The sequence below is a fragment of the Homo sapiens genome, chromosome 12, assembly GCF_000001405.40.
Source record: "Homo sapiens chromosome 12, GRCh38.p14 Primary Assembly".
NCBI classification, from domain to species: Eukaryota; Metazoa; Chordata; class Mammalia; order Primates; family Hominidae; genus Homo; species Homo sapiens.
Genome location: NC_000012.12, coordinates 70,337,142 through 70,361,045, shown reverse-complemented (window position 1 = coordinate 70,361,045; position 23,904 = coordinate 70,337,142). Strand labels below are relative to the sequence as shown.

General features: G+C 33.1%; 1 protein-coding gene across 24 annotated transcripts in view, besides 1 other annotated feature; it reads right to left on the bottom strand.

The window, feature by feature from the left end:
- Window positions 1–6,052: 6,052 nt before the first annotated feature.
- Window positions 6,053–23,904, bottom strand: part of CNOT2 (CCR4-NOT transcription complex subunit 2) — a 111,976-nt gene continuing 94,124 nt past the window's right edge. For 21 of the 24 annotated variants that reach the window (NR_037615.2, NM_001199302.2, XM_047428882.1 and 18 more), the window contains 8 exons: window positions 23,533–23,657; window positions 22,483–22,603; window positions 22,224–22,380; window positions 18,878–18,939; window positions 18,739–18,788; window positions 16,818–16,918; window positions 14,722–14,866; window positions 6,053–7,217 (listed from right to left, as the gene is read on the bottom strand). Coding sequence is in view for 23 of the 24 variants with exons in the window: in NM_001199302.2 (NP_001186231.1) it covers window positions 7,131–7,217; window positions 14,722–14,866; window positions 16,818–16,918; window positions 18,739–18,788; window positions 18,878–18,939; window positions 22,224–22,380; window positions 22,483–22,603; window positions 23,533–23,657 (848 nt within the window). In the remaining variant the exon portion in view is untranslated. Of the gene's footprint in view, window positions 7,218–14,721; window positions 14,867–16,817; window positions 16,936–18,738; window positions 18,789–18,877; window positions 18,940–22,223; window positions 22,381–22,482; window positions 22,604–22,626; window positions 23,291–23,532; window positions 23,658–23,904 lie in introns of those variants that run through there. The other 3 variants (NM_001414652.1, XM_047428885.1, XM_024448988.2) reach the window with 3 other exon arrangements.
- Window positions 8,811–9,011: a silencer, noted in NCBI's record as "peak1802 fragment used in MPRA reporter construct". NCBI's record gives its function as "represses an SCP1 promoter by STARR-seq MPRAs in K562 erythroleukemia cells {active_cell/tissue: K562}" and the evidence as "EXISTENCE:reporter gene assay evidence [ECO:0000049][PMID:32103011]".

The following is a 23,904-nucleotide window of genomic DNA, read 5'->3' as shown; positions in this document are numbered from 1 at the left end:
TCCTCTGGCGTTATGTAGGATAAAGATATTTTTAAGAATAAAGCCTTACATGAGGCAGAATGGCGTGAACCTGGGAGGTGGAGCTTGCAGTGAGCCGAGATCGCACCACTGCACTCCAGCCTGGGCGACAGAGCAAGACTCCGTCTCAAGAAAAAAAAAAAAAAAAAAAAGGATTAAGCCTTACAAATGACTCTACCTCAGAGGTGAGAAGACAGCCATTATGTCTCTCCTAGGCCTTTTGTTATGCACAACTTCCAGTTTCTTCAGTATTCTCTTTTGATATGATGTAGGAAACTAAGGTTTTACCCTTAGTCCAAAATGCTAAGAATAATAAGTCAAAGTTGGAAAGGATGCCCCACTTTAACATTCGAAAGTCTGAGCTTTTCTTTTCCATGATATTCCAATTTACAAACACTTCTAGGATAATGGATTTTGTTGTTCAATGACAGTGTCATTGCAAATGTAGGGAATTTGGATTCCTAATAGTGATATACAAGTCAACTAATATTCAAATTTTAGACCTATATTAAGTCATTTAGAGTGAACTGAAAAAAATTATACAAAACTTTAGATAAAAAAAGGGAAATCTGGAAATAACTTTTTGAGCAGAGGAGTAACATGACTTGCATTTTTTAAAACTGAGATATAACTCATGCAATAGACAGCATGTTATATTTGAAGAATATTAACCACTTGAAGACAATAAGTTAAAACATTCAAAATAAAAAAACAAACATATCTTTCTCTTAAGAGGGGAAATATTTAACTCAAAGACAGCCCATTTTTCATGCACTGTTACATATGGTAATTAAAACTCCATCTTAAAATAAATGTTCAGTATGTAACAGATTTAAAGGTAGCTTTGAAACATTCTGGCTGCCCCAAATCTTTATTTTTATACATAAGAAGATGAAACTATTTATATCATTCCCTCATGTAATGTTTTCTCATTCAGATGTATAATTTTGAAGAATAAATGTTTAATTTAAAATAGTTTTCTCATTATAAATTAGTATCAAGAGGCCTGATTCTAAAAAGAATCAAGCAGACTCAGCGATTTGTGGACATCATACCACCCTTGAAATTTGAAGTATTCTTCCAAAATGTTTGAAGAATTCATGTATTATCATCAAAATTATCTTCATTATGCACTAGGAAATAGTTTGGCCTGGAAGAAAAAAGCATGTATTGTAAGTTTTAAAAGTAAATTATATGGTCAAAATGTCACTTAGGCCAAAAATAAATGCAAATCACAAAAACATTACATTTCAGGAAACACATACAAATTAGAGACCAGCTCTGATTCATAGTAAAGATTTGTTTTCCTCAGCTAGTGCCTTCAATTATTGTCTAAAAGAACTAACACTTTTGGCATAAAGCCAGTTTTATTTAATCTTCTCTAAGAAAGATGTCAAAACATTTTGGTGGTATGGTATGGCCTTTCAGGCCTAGAAATGAAAACTAAGATAAATTTCAAAAAGAATGAAAAATTGGCTTTGCTATGTAGAAGATAGTTTAAGTATTTTAGCACATGTCAACTGGTTATCATATGCTATTTGACTATGCAATAATTTGGATTTTCAAGATAGAGAATTATGACAATTAGGACCTTGTGAATTTTGACACTTTCAAGAAGTCATTTAAATAACTGAGAGAAAACTGTACAATAAACATGGAAATGACTAGCTTTTTAAAAAGCCCTATAAATCTTGAGTTCTTATGATAAAGAGACATGTCACTAAAATCTTGTCACAGTATTTACACAACTGTTTAATTGGATTAAAAAACCTTCAATTAATGCATACATAACTGATAATGTAATTCCCATTACATTATCAGTTTTTATACATACAAACTGAAGAGGAAATCTTAAGATCAGCAGAAATATTCCCAGGAAATAACTGAGATAAAAGCACTTTTGCTGTTTTATATTTATATATGGATTCAGCTTTCCTCCTGTTCTGCTAACAAATACTATTGTAGTAACATGGTTTCTGCCCTAGAACATTGGATGTTATAGGAAAAAGTAAATGAATGCCCCTGATACACAGGGATTATAATATTTAGTGGGATTTTAAGAAACAAGATTTTATTCTACTTAGTACTTGTACCCAGGAGATTGCACACTAATGCAACGTACAATTTCAGACTAAACATTTACGTCAAAACTTAAAAATTGTCTTTTTCCTCTTTCAAATGTAGAAATATACACATAAATAAATCTGGTGAATACACACATACATATGATTACTATTTGTTGTGCTTTATTAATGTTTCACATTCCTACTCCTAACATCAAAACAACTCTACATGTAAGTTCAATAAAGTTGCCTTTTGTAATTCTTTTTTGATTTAAATTTCTTTCCAAAGATATAGCAGTGATTTTAAGTATACCTTATCCATGATTCACAGAACAGCATATTCTTATGTACTTAAAGGTCAATGCTTTAAGTATATACCTTTTAGCCCTGATGACATCATAGTCTCCAACTTCAAATCAAGAAAAGGGTATCAGTACCTTAAAGAGCTGAAAAGAGGTCTGGAAGTAATCACATTCAACTTTTTATTTAAAAAGGCAGTCCTGTCAACTAATTGAGAGTCATTCAGTTTGTTTGCACATTGACTGAACCTTTACTTCATGAAGCAGCTAGTACTGTGTAGCACCTTAATATAGAAAAAGTCTGTTTCATTCAACTTCTCCTTATTGGTTTGAGACTTGCCCTATTCCAGTTCTTCCTGTGTTTGATGACAACTGTCATGCCTCCCCTTAGTATTCTTTAGTTGTCTCCAAGACCTACATCTCATCAATTCTAAGATGCACGTTCTTTCTTCACATAATAGATACATTCTGTAATTGGCAGCTTGTCTTAGTGGTACATAAAATGGTGTCCCTTACAATTGATGGCAATTAGATTTGCTGAAATACAGTAATTATCTCACTTACTTTAACACTTTTTCAATGAGCCACAGGAACATTAAGACATTCAACTCCTTACCTTATGCACAGAACACTATCCAGCCAGTCTCTCCTAGGTTATGTCCTATGAAGTTAAATCTAACGCCTTACAAAGCAACTGATTTAAAAATCTGAATTAACTCAGTTACTTTTTAATATTGCACTGAAATCCCTTATTTGTCCTAGTTCTGCTCTTCCAGTCACAAGAATGAGCTTAATTGCCTTTCATTGACAGCTCTTGAATTTGATACCTGAAGACAAATACCATGTTTCCAAAATTGTATTCCTATTTGTTTTTAAAATTTACTCTAAAATGGGAACACTAAATTTCACCTCATGATGCTATTCTTCAGACAACAATGTATATAAAAACACACAGCATTTGCCAGGCAGCTAGAAGGCATGCTACTTCTCCATCCCCTTCTGCCTTCCCCAGGCATGGCAGCTCTTCTAATACAGCATTCAAACAGAAGATGACATTTCAGATGAGTGATTACTTCCAGTAGAGTGGGCTTCCTATCTTTTTCTGAGTGCTATATTTTTCTTAATGTAGCTGAAGATTACATTAGTATTTTTGGCAACAGGATCACAATTCTTACTGATCTATATATGAACCACTCAAATCATGTTATATTCCACCATTCTTTATTAACAATCAAAGTGCAAAACTAAGTAATTTTCTTGATTGAATGTATCCTATTTGATTCAACTCTACACACCAAACTACTTGGTTAGATTTAGATCCCAATTTTAACCTTCAGTGAGTTTATTTGCTTCATCTTCCAGATCTGTCATGTATTCATGGTATAATCAAAGTCACTGGTAATGCCAGTGGCAAGGAGACAGCCTTGTGACCTGCCATTAGGATCCAACTTTTAGAAAGTAAAGGCATCTCAATGTCTGGCTTAGTTCATTCTCCAGAGACTATCTCAATGGAACCTAGTTAGTAGATATTTCTAGATCTTATTAACTACATAGACAAACCATGGTTAATGTATTATACAATCCTGTTTCCACACACGTATAGGTTTTCAGCAACTTTTTGCAAAATTGAGCTATTAAATCTAAGTTAAATGAAATGAGTCCTACTGTACAGCCATGCTCAGATGCCACATATTTTATGAGCAATGGATATAACAAAGTGGAAGATCTATGGCTTGTGAATAGAAGAGGATTTATCAATTAGAGAAGCTATAGACTGGAAAAATTTGAAATATTTAAAAGTTATTGAAAATGCTTAAAAAGATTATTGTGAAAATGAAATTATAGCAAATGATAATTGAGTAAGCTATCTCAAAGCCCAATGCTTTATACTTTATTTTCAAATTGAAATATCAACTTTTATCAGTCAACAACTATCAAGCACCTGCTTTGTCCCAATTTCAGTGTCAAAAAGAAACAGACTAGTTATATATACTTTAAGAATTAACATAAACTTTCAGTTCTTAAAATGTATTATATCTAAGGAAAACTATTTGTGTAGTTAAGTCTCTGAAAATAGAGCTTTAGCATATAAATTATAATACCACCTAAATAATTATATTTGAAACCAAATAAAGGATTTCCCTTTGCAATTAAATAGCTTTTATTCCCAGAAAGCCAATCATAGTTTAATCTAAAAAATTTATTTAACATAGTGTACACATCTATTTCACTAGCTATATAGGGGGAAATTAACAGAATTAAAGCTTTGAAAGAAAATGTGAAATATAATTAGTTGGATTCAGCCTCTTTACATGTATAACCACGTTATAAAATCAAGGCGTATTATAACTGTTACATTTAAAAAGTTCAAAGTAGTGTTTTAAATATTTCAAATAGAGTAATTTGTATTTTGAAGTCCATAGCATGGTAATTTCTGATATTAACAAGTTATAAAAAGTTGGCTAACATGCAAGAGTTTCTTCATTTTGATGATTCAGGATAAAAAGAACTCAAAAAAATGGAAAAGTGTGCATTTAAAACTCTGTATATGGCAGTTAACAAAAAAAGAGAAAAAAAGATTACAGCCAAGACAACAAACCACTTGGTATGAGCTATCTTATTTTTCGGAGTCATTCATCAGTACCAGTCATGATCACGCTTCAGCTGAGACTTCAATCTATATTGTTGTTTATATTCATGAGAATAAAGATCCCCTTCCACATTTTTCTTCCTACTTGTTTTTTGTGGTTATGTAGGAAAAATTACATTTTATTTTACAAAGTGAATTACTAGGAAAAATGTAATCTTTTTTTTTCTAGATTGATTTCTATGCTTTGACTCTGGTTTATGTCAAATAAGGTATAGTGTTCTGTGAAGGTTTGTGCACAATAGATAAAATGATTTATATAGTGCTATCTTTCTTACTGAGGAGATGCTTTGGTTTAATTATGAAAGATAGAAAATCCTGTTTTTTATAGTGTTTCTCATATCTCAAAATGCATAGAAAAAGGTAAATTTTAAGCCACTTTATATTCCTGGTACACAAACACAGCAATGTCATAAATGTTTCATTTTCAAAAGATTTGGTTAATGCCAACAGACTTTTACTCTTCATAGAAAAATAGGTTAAAAATGAAAATTTAAAGGATCAAAACTCATTGCCTTTTTTCTACTCTCTAGTTCTGCTTTGGAAGCTTCAATCTTCTGATTTTTAAAATACAGTATTTGTATTTAGATGGGAAAAGAATCCACTAACTTGTAAATATGAGATATCTAGGCCAGCAAACTGAAGGTAAAGTCTACCCATTCCCACCTTATGGCTTACCTTCATTTGCACATTACTTCTTAAAGATAAATTTAAAGGTCTATCAAGAAATTTCTCATAAATTTTTCACAGAAGTACTTTGGTTGGGTTCCAAGAGTATTCAGAATGTTTTATTTCTAATGCTGCCACAACCCATTTAAAAAAGTTTTCTCTGATTAATACTGTCTACATTTTTAACCTACAAGTGAAACGGTTCACTATATTTCCATTAAATTACTTGTTGGAAGCTGAAAAAGACATTTGAGTCACACCATTCAGTTTGATATCTGTAAAACTTCAGTTTGTTTCCTCTATTTTTCATGTTGAAGAAATAATTTCGCAATTTCAAATCAAAGCCAACACTGCAGTGAGGAGAGCTTTTCTACTTTATTACAAAGAGAAGAAGCCTTTATGTGGTCAGAAAATACAAGATTGATCTTTTTTTCTCTTCCTATGAAACGCTGCTGTTCAAACAGCCAGAGTGAATTGTCTCAGTTCACTTCTTTTAAGTCCCATCACATTCACTTGGGTATGGATGTCCTTGGCTGCTGAAAATCTGGCCCTTTTAGTGCACAGGGCGACAAAGTCCCCTGACCAGCAGTTCCAGAATGTCCCATTTTCATATATTGCATCCATGCACACCTCCTAAAAATGAGGTACAGCAGGGCAAACATTTTCCAAAATAGATGTCATATATATAATATATACACATTCGTACATACATACCTTTATTCATGTGATGTCCAAAAATTTAAAAAAAATGTACACATTTATTACAAAATCGTAACAAAGACTGGACAGTGTTTTGCTCATTCTGGAAAGATGAAGCTCAGTAATAACACAACCCTGGAAAACCATCCAGAGATTGTGGCAATATCTTTCTTCTAAACAGTCAGATATTCTTGCATTAAGCTTGGCGAAACTGCCTTTCAAAAACAGAAGGGGAAGTAAAATGAAGGAAGCAGACCTCTTGCTCATCTTTCCAAATGAAATACGAGAAGGATCTTCACATAAAAATGCACAAACATTTGTTATTTTATTACCAATAGTGCTACAATGAACAATGCAAAATTTGTGGTCTAATTTTCTTGAGTCTTTTGGGGGTTTTCTTTTTTACATTTTAGAAACTATGGTAAACTTCTGTCAGTGTATTTGCTTGTCTTTACAGACTCAAGTCTGTCTGCTGGCAAAAAAGGAAATAAATGAAAAAATTCAGACCCTGCTCAAACTAGAGAAAAACAAATTACAAATTTAGTTGTTGGGCAGCACATAATTAGTAAGGCAGGACCTCAAATGGTGACCTTTTGCGTAAGCCAATTGCCAGATCCTCAAGGAATTAAAACCAGGGTGCCTGAGCCACATCAGTTCTGCAGTTATGTTGAGTATTGTGCTGAGACAGCCATACCCCAAGAAAAGGGAAGTCTTTTTTTTTTTTTTTTTTTTTTTTTAGAAGGCTTGCTGAGCAGGGTTGTAGTTGAAGGTGGATGGCAGGTGAGGCCGTTCTTCTAATTTGTCATATTCCAGATGGAACTCCTATAAAAACAAATTCAAGAATTTAGATATCTTCCCCTTTTCATTTTACATTTGTCAAAATACATTTTACTATAAAAATAAATAAAATACCCAATATATATGAATCAACATCAACACAGATATACCAACTGTTTTTCCTCTACATAAAATACAGCTTGAAGAAAAATAATGTGCTGTAGTTTCTAACCAATGAGTACAAAAAATACAGACAGGCTTTCTGTGTGTAAGTCAAGAGACTACTAATGGACCACTTGACACTGAAATGTTGTGTATTGTTTTTAACTTAAAAAAAGAGGGGGCAATTACTGTATCTCTGAATCACTGGAAATTACAGGATATTTAAAATAAAGCCCCCTTCAACGAAGTATAAAAACCTAAAGATTTTGTCCATGAAAAAAGTTTAGAAATAATTTTCCAAATTGTCTTTATTACATTTATATTAAAAAATAAGCAGGGCCGCGCACAGTGGCTCACGTCTGTAATCCCAGCACTTTGGGAGGCTTAGGTGGGCAGATCACGAGGTCAGGAGATCAAGACCATCTTTACCAATCAACATGGTGAAACCCCGTCTGTACTAAAAATACAAAAATTAGCTGGGCGTAGTGGTGCACGCCTGTAGTAGCAGCTACTCAGGAGGCTGAGGCAGGAGAATCGCTTGAACCTGGCAGGTGGAGGTTGCAGTGAGCCAAGATTGCACCACTGCACTCCAGCCCAGATGACAAAGCAAGACTCCGTCTAAAAAAAAAAAAAAAAGGAAAACACATAAAATTATTCTAACCTCATTAAAATCTGGGGAAAATAATGAACTTAAAACTCACACATCACTAGACTTGCATTTCACAAACCCAAAACCCTGACTCAAATATAAATCAACTGCCACCGAAAACTAGACAATGGTTCTGCTGTAGGAACATTTGAAAACTAGATAGCAGCTCACTTTAATCAAACTTTCAAAATACTGTATTAACTTCATGAGTTTTAAAATTTAAGAATGGTGACATAATTTCTTCATGATACTTCCCACCCAAGATCAAGAATAGAGATGCAGAATAGCTATGTATATTAGAAAAAAATGCAAACAACAAATACCTCTGCAACCCCAATAAGCAAGAGGCTCTAAAAGCCTCTTACCAATTCTACCATCTGAATTAGCACAAATTACTGCATAATCCAACTTAAAGAATTATGAAGCTTAATATGTATTATGTATTAAAGATTAAGGCAACAAGTGACATTAGCTACCATGGGTTAACATATTTTACCTTATCTGTCTGGTTTCAAACTGATTCCATGATGAGTATTTCCATTATTAAATTAAAATGAAAACCTAGACTATAATGACCAAATTTTAAGATGGAACACCAAGTATTTAAAATTTAAAGATATTACACTTAAATAAATTTAAAGATATTACAGACCTAACAGCAGAATTTATTGAAAGCCTAGTATGTGCTAAAATTAGAGATACAGCTAATTTTATTCTAATCTTTGTAATAATTCTGTAAAGCAGATATCATTATTTTCATTTTGTACCTGAAGAAAATGAGGCTTACAAGTAACTTGGACAAGTCATCAGTAAGCGGCACACCTAGCATTAGGATCCAGACCCATGTGACAAAAAGCCTCCATGTGACAAAAAGCCTGTGTCTTTTGTAGTGTAACACATTATTTTTAATATTTTTAGTCCAAGATCCAAAACAGATTCATTTACTTCATTACAAGGCAATCCAGAAATGCTGAAAGAATTCAGTCCCCTTCTCTCTTGGTATAAGGTGAAGAAAAAGGAAAAAAAAAATCAGTCCCCTGAGAGTTTATAAAGAAGGTACACCATGGTGACTTTAGCCTGAAAAGGTTGCCTTCATGTGACTGGTACAGTAATTAAGACACAGAGGTTATTTGCTTATCAGTAAAAATTAGCAAACACCAGAATCACCACCACAACCATGACATCCTGCCCTAATACACTGTGTAGCACTACTCCCCCTCTCCCAGCCCTAGCTAGGAATTAAAATAATTTTATTGCTTGGTTCAAGTTGACTATCTGAATTCGTGAAGAAAATTTGTTATCATTCTTCTGAAATTAAAATTGGCATTTTTGTTTTCAAAATGTGTAGTTACAGGGAAAAAAAGTCTAATTGTAACTTCCACAAAGTGGTAAGTTATACTGAGTAAGTTAACTAAAATTTTTCACATTGATGAACTACAATGTATGACTAGGAATTCAAACTAGATTAACTTTATCAATGTACATTTTCCCCCAGAAAAATATAGTTTAAACCTAAGCAGCGTAAATAATTTTGATATAGAGATTTAGAAATTTTGATATAGAGATCAGAGATTTAGAAATTACATAGGTAAAATTTTGCCTTCCACGTTTTAAAATCTTGTTTTCCACGTACTTTTATTCTTCTTAAAATACATAAGTTACTTTGATTACTGGTAACACCATTTACATGTTTGTTATATATACACACACATACTACACACATGCACAACCTCATACATTCTGTAGGAGCAAGTGTCTATCTACTTTGTATACTACTACCTACAACTTGGAATAGTGCCAAGCCCCTAATGGATGTGTAATTAATATATGATGAATAAACACAAGCTTTCTTCCTTTGTTTTAGGAACAAAACATTTAATTTTTCTAATATTATCAAATGATACATTAGAGGGTCTATGTATATATTTGCTTTTAGTGGAAAAAAAAGGATTTCTAGATTATAATATGATTGCAAAGGCTAGAAAGAGTTCCAAATACTTTTTAGACAACTTTTTCATACCTTAGTTCTTCTATTAATAAAATTAGGCTATGTATTCTCCAAAGGTTACTTGTTCAATTCAAGCAAAACTGAATGCAATGGATTCATATAGTCAAATAATATTACAAAAACATTAATGTAATCACTGATCTAGTTATGTAGAGAAACACACACTGCAGAGGTGTTTTCTCAAATTCTCATGAAATGTCAGCTTTCTCTTACCTACATGTTGAGTATCTCTTATCTGAGATTTTGCTTATTCTGGGAACAGAAGTGTTTGGATTTTGGAATATTTATACATATAAAATGAGGTATCTTGGGGATGGGACCCAAGTCTAACCATGAAATTCATTTATGTTTTATATATACCTTATTCACATACCCTGAGGGTAATTTTATACAATGTTACTAATATTTTGTGCAGAAAATAAGGTTTGTTTACACTGTACACTGAACCATCAGAAAGCAAAGGTGTCAGGTATGGAATTTTCCACTTGTGACACCATGTTGGCATTCAGAAGTTACAGATTTTGGAGTATTCAGGTTTTAGATTTTTGAATCAGAATGCTCAACCTGTATAATAAATCCATATTAACTTAAATTTTAGGAAGTAGCAAACTATCTTAAATACAGTTATTAGAAATAATCTTTGAAGAAAAGTACACATTACTAAAGTATAAGGATGTACTAATATGTAACTGTGAAATTAATGAAAAATCACATTTATATCAGACTGTGACATAAAAAATCTTAACTGTTAGAAATCCTGATAGATCCACGAGGTCAAATTAGGCCGAAAGAATTCTTAAATTTTAAGTCTTTGAGAAAGCTACTGATAATAAGGCAGCCTCTATCACCTAAAAATTAACTGTGGAAGAAATTATTTTAAAAATTTAATGCATGAAGATTATATATACTATCTGAATTGCTGCAAATTTAAAATTAGTAAAATATGAGTAATTCCAGCAAAACGACACAGGAGAACATGGCCTGCTAAAAAGTTAATGAGTATATAAAAGGAAAGAATAAGCAAAATACAATGTTAAATTAAAAAAAAAAATAGGATCTGGCTCTGTCACCTGGGCTGGAGTATAGTGATGCAATCACAGCTCACTGCAACCTTGAACTCCTGGGCTCAAGCAATCCTCCTACCTCAGCCTCCCAAGTAGCTAGGACTGCAGGAGCATACCACCACACCTGGCTATGTTTCTCTCTCTCTCTCTTTCTATAGAGACAGAGTCTTGCTATGTTGCCCAGGCTGATCTTAAACTCCCAGCTTCAAGTGATCGTCTTGCCTCATTCTCCCAAAGTGTTAGGATTACAGGCATGAGCCACCATGCCCAACCAATGTCAACATTTTAATGTATATATTATTTACAGGAAATTATGTAAATAAATAATGGATTGGATTCTAGAACTCAGGGTCACAAAATTTTTAGAGGATAAGAAATACTTCTGGTTTAGATTATCTAATCCCTTATTTAATATTACAATTATCTGAAAATAGTAAGTGATTTGGGGAAAAATGCTCATACAAAATATTATGAATGGACATAAAATATTATGAATGGACTCCAGGATTATGGTGTAGACCAGTTCAGTACCTTTCAAGAACACCATAATATCAGCTATTATTTAAAATGTTAATTCATACTGTAGGCTTCTTACAGTGAATTGAGGTTATTTAATATACGTTCTTTAACTGTGAATAGTAAGGCACACCCACTTTACAGATGGGGACTCAACTTGTGACATGACATGTTAATGGATTTTCTATAATTTGATGAAGGCTGTTAATAAATATACTTATGAACAGGTCCCAGATTTCTTAATTACTAATCAATATTCTGGGAAAGCACTGAACACATCCTTTAAAGAATTTTTTGAAAAATTTATCCCGTTAATATACTGCAACTTCAAAATTTTAAGTGCATGAATTTGTATTTTAATATAACCAAGAGTGAGCTGCTCATTAATATCTTAATACCAACAATTCTGCCTGTTTTCATTACTATGAAAATAATTTTAAAGCGTGTCAGTGCAAGGTACCAACAAACTATTACCTTGAAAGAGATTTCTGAGGGAGTAACTTAATGATATTATTTCTCACATTTTTCACATCACAGTTAAAAAATTTAAAGATAAAGACAAAAGCTCAACTGTACACGATAGATAAAACTGAGCTAAATTATGTTTTATATATAATATATAAAAAATATGTAAATCCATATTTAAATAGATACAATTTTCTTTAAAATGACATTTACCTGACTGAGGAATTGCTTTTGCTGGAAATTAAAGGAGTCCTACATTAATGTTAACATTGTTTTCTAAATATTTAACTTCATGAGGAGAACTTAATTCTGGAAAGCTGATTTTCTCACAAATTGATTTCTTCATACATATATCTAACAAAATTTAACTAAAATTATGTAGCTGTTTACTGAAAATATCCACCCCTTTTTACATATGTAAGTTTGGAATAATTTACAATAATATTGAGCAAAAATGTTCAAATTGAATGGAGAAAACTTCAGTTCTTTCCTAATAAAATTTTTTTCTTCTTCCAAAGATGTTTTTGACTCCTGTAGCATCACCTAATCCACAGGTTCTTTAAATATAGTTCTGGACCAAGACCAGCATGTCATTACTACCGTCACTTAGGAGCTTGTTAGAAATGCAATTCTCAGGCCCCACCCACAGACTCACTAAATCATAAATGATGGAGGTATGGTCCAGAAATTTGTGTTTTAACAAGTTTTCCAGGTAATTCTGATACAAGCTATAGTTTGAGAACCAATGACCTAACCTAATTAACAATCAGCTCTAATTTTTTCATCCTTGCAAAAACAGTAGCTATAATAACGATGATAAAAACAATAGCAGTAAACTAGTACAACCACCACCATGTATCAAATACCCAACGTGTGCCAAGCACTGTAATCAGCATGTGTGTGTGTATATAAACATATATGAAATCTCATTTAATCTTCATAAAAACTTAGAGGAAAATCTCACCTCAATTTTACAAAAGAGGAAACAGGCATGAAAAAGAAAATTGTAGAAGGTCAAAGCATAAATAACAGCAATAGGAGTTAAATTCAAATCCATGATACAAAGGCTATAGCTTTCTACTGTATACTACATATCTTAAAAAGCAGGTAACATATACAATAGCTCAGGCACTATTTTTAATTAATGTGATTATTTAACTAGAAGGTTAACTCATAAATACACCTTCTGAAAACACAATAGTCACATGAATTGGAACTGTTAAAATAATTCAGATACAAAATACAGTATGTGGACTTGGTCTGAGAAGTAAAGACATTTACCACTGAGAAACATCTAAAAAAAAAGATTTAATTTCTTATGTGGATCTTATTTGGTGTTGTCTGTTAGGGGACATCTGTTTTTGTTTTTTTTTTTTTGAGACGGAGTCTCGCTCTGTCGCCCAGGCTGGAGTGCAGTGGCGCGATCTCGGCTCACTGCAAGCTCCGCCTCCCAGGTTCACGCCATTCTCCTGCCTCAGCCTCCCGAGTAGCTGGGACTACAGGCACCCTCCACCAGGCCCAGCTAATTTTTTTTTGTATTTTTAGTAGAGACGGGGTTTCTCTGTTACCCAGGATGGTCTTGATCTCCTGATCTCATGATCCACCCACCTCAGCCTCCCAAAGTGCTGGGATTACAGGTGTGAGCCACTGCACCCGGCTTTTTGAGTTTTATATGAAATCTTGGGATGTAAAAATTTTTGTGATAAATATCTGGTAGGCATTTTACATTGTCTTCTTAAAATGTTTTACCTTTTTAAATAATCATTTTAGTAAAGCAGATTCAAAACTACAAACAAACAAAAAAACAAATTGACAACTAAAAAATTGTCCAAAGAACTGTCAGAAACATTTTTCTGCTGTTTAAATTTATTTAAAACAAACAAATTTAACTCTTTAATTATAAACCTCAGAATCATTGATGGAAAATGTATCAGAAAAATCATGGAGTTGTGAAATCAGATAATGTGGAGAATAATATATAGAGTGGAGAGAATATATTCTCTCCACATGTAGAGAATAATATATTCTCTACTAGGCAGACTAAATAAACACAACGTACTAAATGCAGGTATGAAATATGCATTGACACTGATGAAAATTTTGCACATGGGACGGTTAGAAAGGCGTTTAAGTGAGGAAAAGTTGCAAAACCAAAATAAAATAATCAACATTTCTCCATAGCCGATTTCTCCCCAATATTTAGCAAAATAGTCACAGAAATAGTCATAGTTAACGCCTGTAATTTTCTTTCTTAAAATTACTTGCAAATAAACATTCAGATGTATTTCCTGCAACTAGTCCAAGTGTAAAAAGCCTGTTTATATACTGCTTTTAGAAAAATCTCATCCTTGCTTAAAGTTACAAAAATATAAAAATATATGACTGGGGTTGCAAGAGAGTATCTTTATTTTACAAAGCAGTAGACACAAAAAATATTTCAAATGTTACCAAGGCTTATGCAAAATTACAAAACCTCTTACCAAATTCAATAATGTAACTATCAGTGAAACCAATTGTTTTGGGACACTCTTCTAAGAGTGTCAAGCCAAGGAGATGGAATTAAACAGTTGGCAAATATGTGGCACATTACTGGAACTGGATGTATTGGTACTTATAAACAGATAAAAGAGGACACTTCTTTTTTCAAGTTTAGATTTATACATTTGCACATGGAAAGAAATATACCTTAGCTACTTTCCTCCAGTTAAGACAGTCAAAGAAGTAATATGTTCCCCTCTCATAGGTATTGGTTTTCATTGTTGGCTCCATGCCTGGTGCCCTGGTAATCCATACTCGTTCTTCTTTGTGGTATCTCCAATCACGGTTAAAACTTCAATTTTTAAAAGAAAAGATAATTAACTTTTTCCTGTGGCTTACATCAAACATGTTCTACATTTTGTAAAGCTTTCCTCCGGAAAAAAAAAATTACACATAAAATAAATAAATATGAATGCTTCCTACTCATTTATTATAAGTTATTAAATACAACCGCATTGAAATATAGAAAAAATATTTCTTAATTTGTCCAGAAGGCACACTAATTAATACACACACTTTTATTTAACTAAAGAAACTTTTTATACAAACAAGGATTTTAAAAGTTTTATAAGCAATGTGATAAAAACATAGGCAGACCAAATAAAGACACAATGTGTTGCAAAAACTTCACTCCTTTCTTGCTCTTCTTAACACTCAAAAGAAATTGAGGTATCTCCAACTATTTGCATTATTTGATAAGGAACTAAATACAAACTATATTTGAATTAATTATGTAAATTCCACATAATTTTTTAACTATCTTGAAACTAGAGCATTTTGAAAAATTATACTGAATATATTTACTTTTTATTCAAATTTCAGATTCTAAATTCTCAAAAGCTAAGAGAAAATCCATTACAATTCATAAAAGAATCAATGAGAATTTACACTACTTGTAAACTGAGGAAGTAACATCCAGAGGAGGTAATGTCCCACAAAATAAACCTCCATGTAAAGAAATGCTTTCCTACCAACGTCATGAGGTAGTTTTTAAGACATAAATAAAATATGAAAACAGAACTGCCAGTGATAGATGAATGAGTGCCTGAATGTATTTATTTACTTATGAACAATTAAAAGGAACAACAGGTAATAATCTCTATTCTCACAAAAATGAAGGAAAAACATAAGGGAAAAATCCTCTCAGTTGTGAAATGAAACGAAACAATTCATTATCAACATACTGAATTATATACTTTAAACTATTTGATCCAAAGCCATTTATAGAAATGTTATTAGAAATGTTATGAAATACTTAAATTTGTGAAAAGGTCTCCCAATCATAAGGTCATAAATAATTACTAATAGTTTACTCTATAGTAAACATAATTGTCTATTGATAACAAAATGTGTTGCCAACTGTACATTTGAGTAACGACAGAAAACTTAATTTTAGAGCATCAGGTAAATACAGAACTGCTCAGGGAAAAAATATCAATGAACCAATTTCTTTACATTAATATTTGTTTAAACTGGCCAATAGACTGCTGATAATGAAAATGTGGACTTTAATCAGCACTTCAAAACGTACAACAAATATGCACACTGCCTTGCTTATAAGTAATAATGTTTATGAAATGATTAAATTCAGTATCGAATTATTTATACATATGGTTCCACAAGGAATAAAAAACATAGTCATGAATATCATATAATTCACATATTTACAAAAATTAGATTCACCAAATCCATGAGTTATGTCAATTCTGTCTTCTTACAAATTTGGCACTTATTAGTTATTTTTAGAGACAGGGTCTTGCACTGTCAGCCACACTAGAGTGCAATGGCACAATCATAGCTCACTGACACCTCAAACTCCTGGGCTCAAGCGATCCTCCTGCTGTAGCCTCCCAAGTAGCTAGGACTATATAGATGTGTGCCACCACACCTAGCTAATATTTTCCTTTATTTTTTGTAGAAATGTGGTTTGCTGTGTTGCCCAGGCTGTCCCTAACTTCTGGCCTCAAGTGATCTGTCCACCTCACCAAAGTGCTGGGATTACAAGTGTGAGCCACTGCACCCAGCTTCAGCATTAAGTTTGAAATTCTTTTTAGGTATATAGATTATGAAGCCATGGTTAAGATACGGTTTTAATCTAAATTAAATTCACTTTAATAATGTAAAAATAAATTTCTTGATGGAGAAATAGTTCCATTTAAAGATAGCCATCATCACTTAAAGATGTTTTCAGCATAGTCAAGATCCACTATAATACAAAAGTGATTAAAATACTTTGAACATACAGCTCCACTGCAGCTAAAAGTTGTAATACGTCTCCTCCATTCATGTAATAGAGATAGAAGAGAAGGTCTTCACCATATCGGCCAAGTTTTATTGCAGCCAGCTGAAAAAGAAAAATAACTTATTCTGAAATATAAAACAAATCTGCAAATCCTAATATATAGTTGCTACTACTAAAGAAAAAATGGAGAGATAAACAGAAACTCCCCACTTTGTAGTAGATAACTGTTATTACATGATTACACAGATAGGTAGTTAAGATTCTAAAAGGGAATTTCCTCATTTAAATGACTGAAGTCATTTAAACAATTATTTCTGATACATCTAATTGATATGCTGACTGGAAGAAAAGCTCAATAAAGACTTCCAAGCAAGATCCACTAAAAGGATTTAATACCCAATGGGGAAAAGAACCTAACAATAGCATTGTGCTCAGAGATCTAGGACTTGTATTCAAGTCCTGGTTTTATTACTCATTAATATGACTGTGTCCTAGTTATTTAAAATCTCTTAGCTTTACTTGTCAAATGTGGACAATGACACCTATGAGGGTTACTAAGAAAGTAAATAAAATGAGTGAAGGTATATGAAAGCACCTTGTAGAGTGCCAAATATATAGACGGCTTATAAAAAATGTTAAACTGAATCTATATCTGACAGTGAATGATTCACAAGTCAGTTGTATGCTTTCAGCAAATCACAGATGATGAATACAAAAATCATAAAGAAATGGCTTTTCAGTTTGTTTAAATAGATGTCTGAAAGATGATTGCTTTACATTTCTCTCCCCAAGGTAGAAACATAACTGCTTACCAAACTGTAAAACATAGGTTCAATAGTCTCAAATTTTCACATTTAAATAAACCTTAAAAGTGTCCCAAAACAACATTTTTATCTCGTTATTTGATCCTATATCGAAATACTTATTTGGTTATTACACATTCTCTGAATGTAATTTTTCTCTCCATTCATGTTATCCCTATTCAGGCAGCAGCCCCAATGTGACAAATTCTCCTAAATTAGTATTTCTCAAATTGGTAATAAGAAAAGGTTCTGGAACACTTTGGTAATTGGAGCGAAAGAGCTCTACAGTGGTGGTGGGAGCAAATCACACAATCCGCAAATAGAAAATAGGAGACCTCTCCATCTTGTATTTCTTGCCTTTTATCTACTCAAGTATTAGAAGACATTGAGAAAGGTATCCCTTTACTTGCCTGTCCACATCAACATCCACTTGACCACAGAACTGTAAGGCACACTCAGAATGCTGTTGTATATATACACATACACATAGATATTTATACACAAATATATAACAAAAATATATTTTTTCACTAAATTGTAGTTTCCCAAGGCTAAAATTTAGGTACCATTGTGAATATTTTTTGGTAATAGAAACAAACTCTCAGTTCTTCTAAAGCAAAAAGTGCCACCATTTTCTTTCTTAGATTGAAAAAAGAGAGATTAAGCTGTAATCTGTTGTTAATAACTACTTTAGAATTAGAATTTTAGGTGATTTAAAAAAATGGAAATGAAAAAATACAGAGAAAAGTCAAAGGTCATAAATAGTTTTTAAAGATACAGACCATCTCATTAAAAACACTGTATCTGTAATACTTGTAACGAAAATCTTTTTACTGGTAAGGTCATAAAATAAGATTATCAGAAGGATATTTATCAAATGTTCCAATCTAGTTTATTCTCATCAACTGCGGTTATGGTTGTAACCTGTTGTTAAATGTAAGAATTTTTATTTTTTACCAGTCCTAACATTTACCATTTAACAAGTTAACATGGACATATGAAAGCATATCCCTGAGACCATTACTAATTATTTCAAAAATAGTATGCTGCCTGAACTGAAAAACATGTGAAAAATAGATAAATTCATGCTGACTGAGTAGAATAATAAACTACACTCACCTTATCCCTAATGTGAATGTTCGTTAAGTACTCAGATGGAACATGGAAGTCTGGATAATAAAATGAAAAAAGCCTTATTAACTGATTCTCAATTGTAAATTTCTTTTTAAAAGGTCTAAACACAAATAGATTCTCCTACCTATGTCTTGAGGTCGACAAGGTGAAGATGCCCAGGGTGACGCAAATTTGGGGTAGAGATTTCTGAATAAGGAGGAAAAGAAAACATTTTGAAATCCAGAAAAAGAGATTTCTAATTTTATTTCAGGAAAAACAAAGACTCCAACTGTAAAATGACCATCTTTACTTCTAATTCCCTTACTTGGGTTTACTGACTTATACAGAAGCAAATGAAGACTGTGTGTGTTTGTGTGTGTGTCTGTAAAATATGATAGGACTCCTTCCCTCAGTATTCTTGCAATACAGTATAAATAACACAACATATCACAATATACAAAACATGATTAAAAATTTTCTACTTTTACTTGATTTCAACTCAAGATGCTTTAAATTCTTCAATACCATGCTCCCAATATAAATTAAATTTTAAATAAATTTTAAATAAATTTCCCATTTATTTGTGTGGCAAGAAGAAAACTGAGTAACTATTTGCAAAAGTTTAAATTCATCAAATATTTACTGAGTGCCTATTATATGCCTGGCACTGTTCTAGGAGCTTACGACACATCAGTGAGCAAAACAAGATCACTGACAACATGAAACTTACTTTCTGGTTGAGGATGGTGGATTGGAGGGGGACAGACAAAATCAATTAACAGAATAAATAAATAAACAATGGCCCATGTTAGAGGGGAACTGGGAGGGGAGACTGGATGCATAATTATTAAATAGGGTGGTCAGTTAGGTTTCATTAAGGTGGTCAGATCTGAAGATTTGAAGGCTATAAGGGACATAGTCATATTAATTATCTGGCAGAAGACTCTTCTAGTCTGAGGGAACTCCTAGAGCAACTAAGGCAGGGACATGACTGACATGCCTGAGATATAACAAGGTGGCCAGTGAAGCTGGAATACAGTGAACAAAGGGAAAAGCTGTTGAGGTGGGGTTAGGGGACAAACAATAATCATGTAAGACCTTGCAGGCCTGTGAAGATTTGGGGTTTCTGGTCAAGCGCGGTGGCTCACACCTATAATTCCAATACTCTGGAAGGCCAAGGTGGGCAGACCACTTGAAAAGTGAGGAGTTAAGAGACCAGCCTGGCCAACATGGTGAAATCCCGTCTCTACTAAAAATACAAAAATTAGCTGGGCATGGTGGCACATGCCTGCAATCCCAGCTACTCAGGAGAATCGCTTGGACCTGGGAGGTGGAGGTTGTAATGACCCGAGATTGCATCACTGCACTCCAGCCTGGGCGACAAGAGCAATACTCTGTCTCAAAAAAAAAAAAAAAAAAAAAAAGATTTGGGGTTTTTAATCATAATGAAACCACAAACATTTACTGGGTGTTGAGCAGAGGAGTAATGTATTAAAAAAGGATTGTCTTGGCTGTTATATGAAGAGATTGTACGGGAAGGGGTATAAGGACAATCAGGGACCCCCAGTGACTGGCTAATGGAGTATTCAGGCAAGAGAGAATGATTCAAACAAGGGTGGTAGCAGTTAAAAGTAGTGAGCTTTGGTTAGATTCTGTATATATTTTGGGAAAAGCCTGATTATGGGGTATAAAAGAAAGAGGAGTTAAGAATAATGCCAAGTTTCTGGAAGTACAGAGTTACCACTAACTGAGATTGGAAAGGCTGTAGACAGAATAAGTTGGGGGGTGATCATTCAAGAAATATTTAATTGGCAATTGAATGTAGAAATCTCAAACTCAGAAGTGTGGAATGGAAACATATGTTTGGGATTCCTCAATATATATGGTATTTAAAACAATAAGACTAGAAAAAGATCATCAAGGATGTAAATGCAGAGAAGAGGAATGACACTGAGGTCAAGAAGAAAAGGAGGAGGTACCAGCAAAGGAAACTGAAAAAGACCAACCAGTGAAGATGAGGTAAAAATGGTGCTCTCAAATTCAAGTACAAGAATGTGTATCAAGGAGCAAGAGTTCCTCCAAGTGACCACTGAATTTAATAACATGAAGGTCATTTGGTGACCTTGATAAAAGCAGCTTTAGTGAAGTGGCAGGGACAAAATCCTGACTGAAATGGGCTTACCAGAGAATGGGAGAAGACCAAGTCGGAGAAATGGAGATGACTCTTTGAAAAGTTTCGCTTCAAAGGGAAATAAAGAAATGGGAAAGTAACTTACGGAGGAGGTTGGATCAAAGGAAGATTTTCTTCTAAGATGAGAGAAGTAACAATGTATTTCTATGTTGATGAAAATGACCCAACAAAGTGTGAAAATGTGTTGTAAGTAGAACGCATGGGTCAATTATGGTAATAGGGTGGAAAACAAGAATAACATAGGTGTAGGTGGCTGTAGGTAGTCAGATTTGTTGGCTAGACTGTGCTAAATGTGCTCTTCTAATTGCTTCCATCTTTCTTAGTACAGTAAAAGTGAAAAGCAAGATCATCATTTGATAGTAAGAATAAGGAGAAAAGGTATTAGGGGCATGCAGAAGTGTACGATAGTTGCATAAGAGAGCAAAAGAGTAAATGGACTAAGCATGCAAGGTATAATTATCACTGGTAGAATTAAGAGCCTACTTTTGAGGCTCCTGGGCATGAAAATAAAGGAAGACCAGGCAGTGATATCATGTGTTTTTCTCTAGCAGAGCTCAGTAGCACAGGTCAGGAATGAAATAGGCAGAAACAATCAGTACTGTAGCTTTGGCCATGCAAGTATAACAACATGAGAAAATGGCAAGTAGTCATGGGATATGTAAATGAACAATTATGACTGACCACAGAATTTCATGGGTAAGAAGGGAGTTGATCACAGGGGAAAAGAGACGGGGATCTGGAAGAACAGTTAAAATACCGAAGAATCAATAGATTGAAGGTCCCAATGGAGTGAAATGATTACAGGAATCACAGTACTAGAAGAAGAGAAATAGAAAATAGAAAGTGGAAGTCGGAAAGCATGCGAGCTCAGATTTTAAAATTGAGAGACTGCAGTTACGAACAATGACTAGGTCAAAGGGATAACTAAAGGAGTGGCTGAAGTATACTACAGGACAAAAATTCCTGGAGGAAAGAAATTCAAGGAGCTGAGATTTCAGGATTCTGGAAGGTGTGTGTGTGTGTGTGTGTGTATATATATATATATACACACACACATATATACATGCACATGCACACACACACACACACACACACACACACACACACATAAAATGCCAAATTATAAAAGGAATACTGCAGAGTGACAGTGATCTAAGAGCTAACATGAATGGGAATGACCCAGAGAATCAGCAGGTTAACAATGAGTAGCAGTAGGTGAGATAATTTGATGACATGATATTAAAAACTGGAAGTCTGAAGAGGTATTATATACAGACATGGAAAAACAGAAAAAACTTACTCAGGAGAGTTCAGATTGAGGCCTAATGTTGTTAAGTCACTTCCTAATGCAAGATGTACCATTCCTGGGTCTGTCTCTGCTGCCCTGATAAATGTTAACAGGCCAATCATTCCAAATTGGTCCGTCACCATCCCTTGAGGAATGTTAGTAACCCGACCTGGGTAGGAAAAACACAGTTGCTTTTATTTTCAAGAAAAAGTTAAAAAATAGAAAAAAAAGCATTCTATAATATCTTTGACATAGATTTCTAGAGTCCCACCATCAGGTAACACCTGGATCCCTTTTTTCTGCTGGTTATTATTTTGTGTTGTTGAACTTTTATCTCCAGGGAATTTGGGTCCATCTGTACTTGAAGTTGTCTTGCCAGATGTATTCAAATTCTAGCATGAAAAAAATTAAATGTGACATTAAAATTTGTTAAGTATACAAATTCAAGTTCACATATTAATACCTTGCTATTTATTCTTTATTACATTTAAATTGGTAGTTAAATTATTACCTGTTTTTCAAGTTCTATAGAAAATTGTTTCCATCATTGTTCCATGGTATACAAATAAATCCTATATCATCCACATTTGAGTATTTAAAGAAAAAGAAATCAAGGGAAAATATCTTATTTATCTCAGATCTTCAGTCACAGAAAAAAAAAAATCTATCTCTTTCTCAGGTCTTTATGCTTTGGGATACACTTGAAGTTACACTCCTCAATGCTTTCATGTAAAAGAGAAACTAAATATAGTATATTACCTAAAATCACCAAAGCTACCTTGAAGATAAGTTAGACATACAAGCTTTAAAACTTTGTACTTATTTTAATTCTTACCGATCTTCTTTATCAATTATTTTAATAATATATAAACTCCCATCACACACAGAGAAAAGCTATTTTCAGTGAAATGTGGAAGAAATAAACATATTTGTTAAGTCAGAAAGAAGAAGCTGAGTTGGTTGAATCAACACAGGTATAAAAATGTGTATAAATTCTTCAAGGAGAAAACTTACTCAAGAAAAACACAGCTCCTTAGAAGGCTATATTATCAAACTTCATGGGATCCAGCTGACAGGGACTACAATAAAAGTCTAAATTAACTCTGAGAAGTTCAACAGAAATTTGCAAACCTATATGAAATAGGAAAAAAATAGGCTATCTTCTAAGTTATAAAGCTTTTCCACATTCTTCAGAAGTTAGGTTATTACAGATATCAAGATAAAACAGTTTTGTAATAGTATTTAGTAAGTAATTGTTAATATAAGAGAAATCTGAAGGGAAAAACTACATCACTCACATACACACTTCTCAGTTACTTACAGATTTACTGTCATCATTACTTGATGTTGGATCTTTATAGCTGGAGCCTGGTAATGCTGGAAAATCTTCATTGTGTATTGAGAAGTCCTGGGATTGTTCATTTGCTGGTTTTGTTACCATTCCAACTATGTAATGAAAATAATCCGGAGAATTGCAATTGATATTTATGATATTTTGCTACAGATTATAAAGTTAACTTTCCTCATGATAATACACCAAAAGGTTTCTTTTTTTTAATGCTATGAAAGCGTACTTCAAAAAATTAGTATCCAGGGTAACAATGAAGAACTAAATTTTCATTTACTGATTAATAACTCAACATACAAAATAATACAAGGGAAATCAACAGTAATCCATGTCATGCGTAGGTGC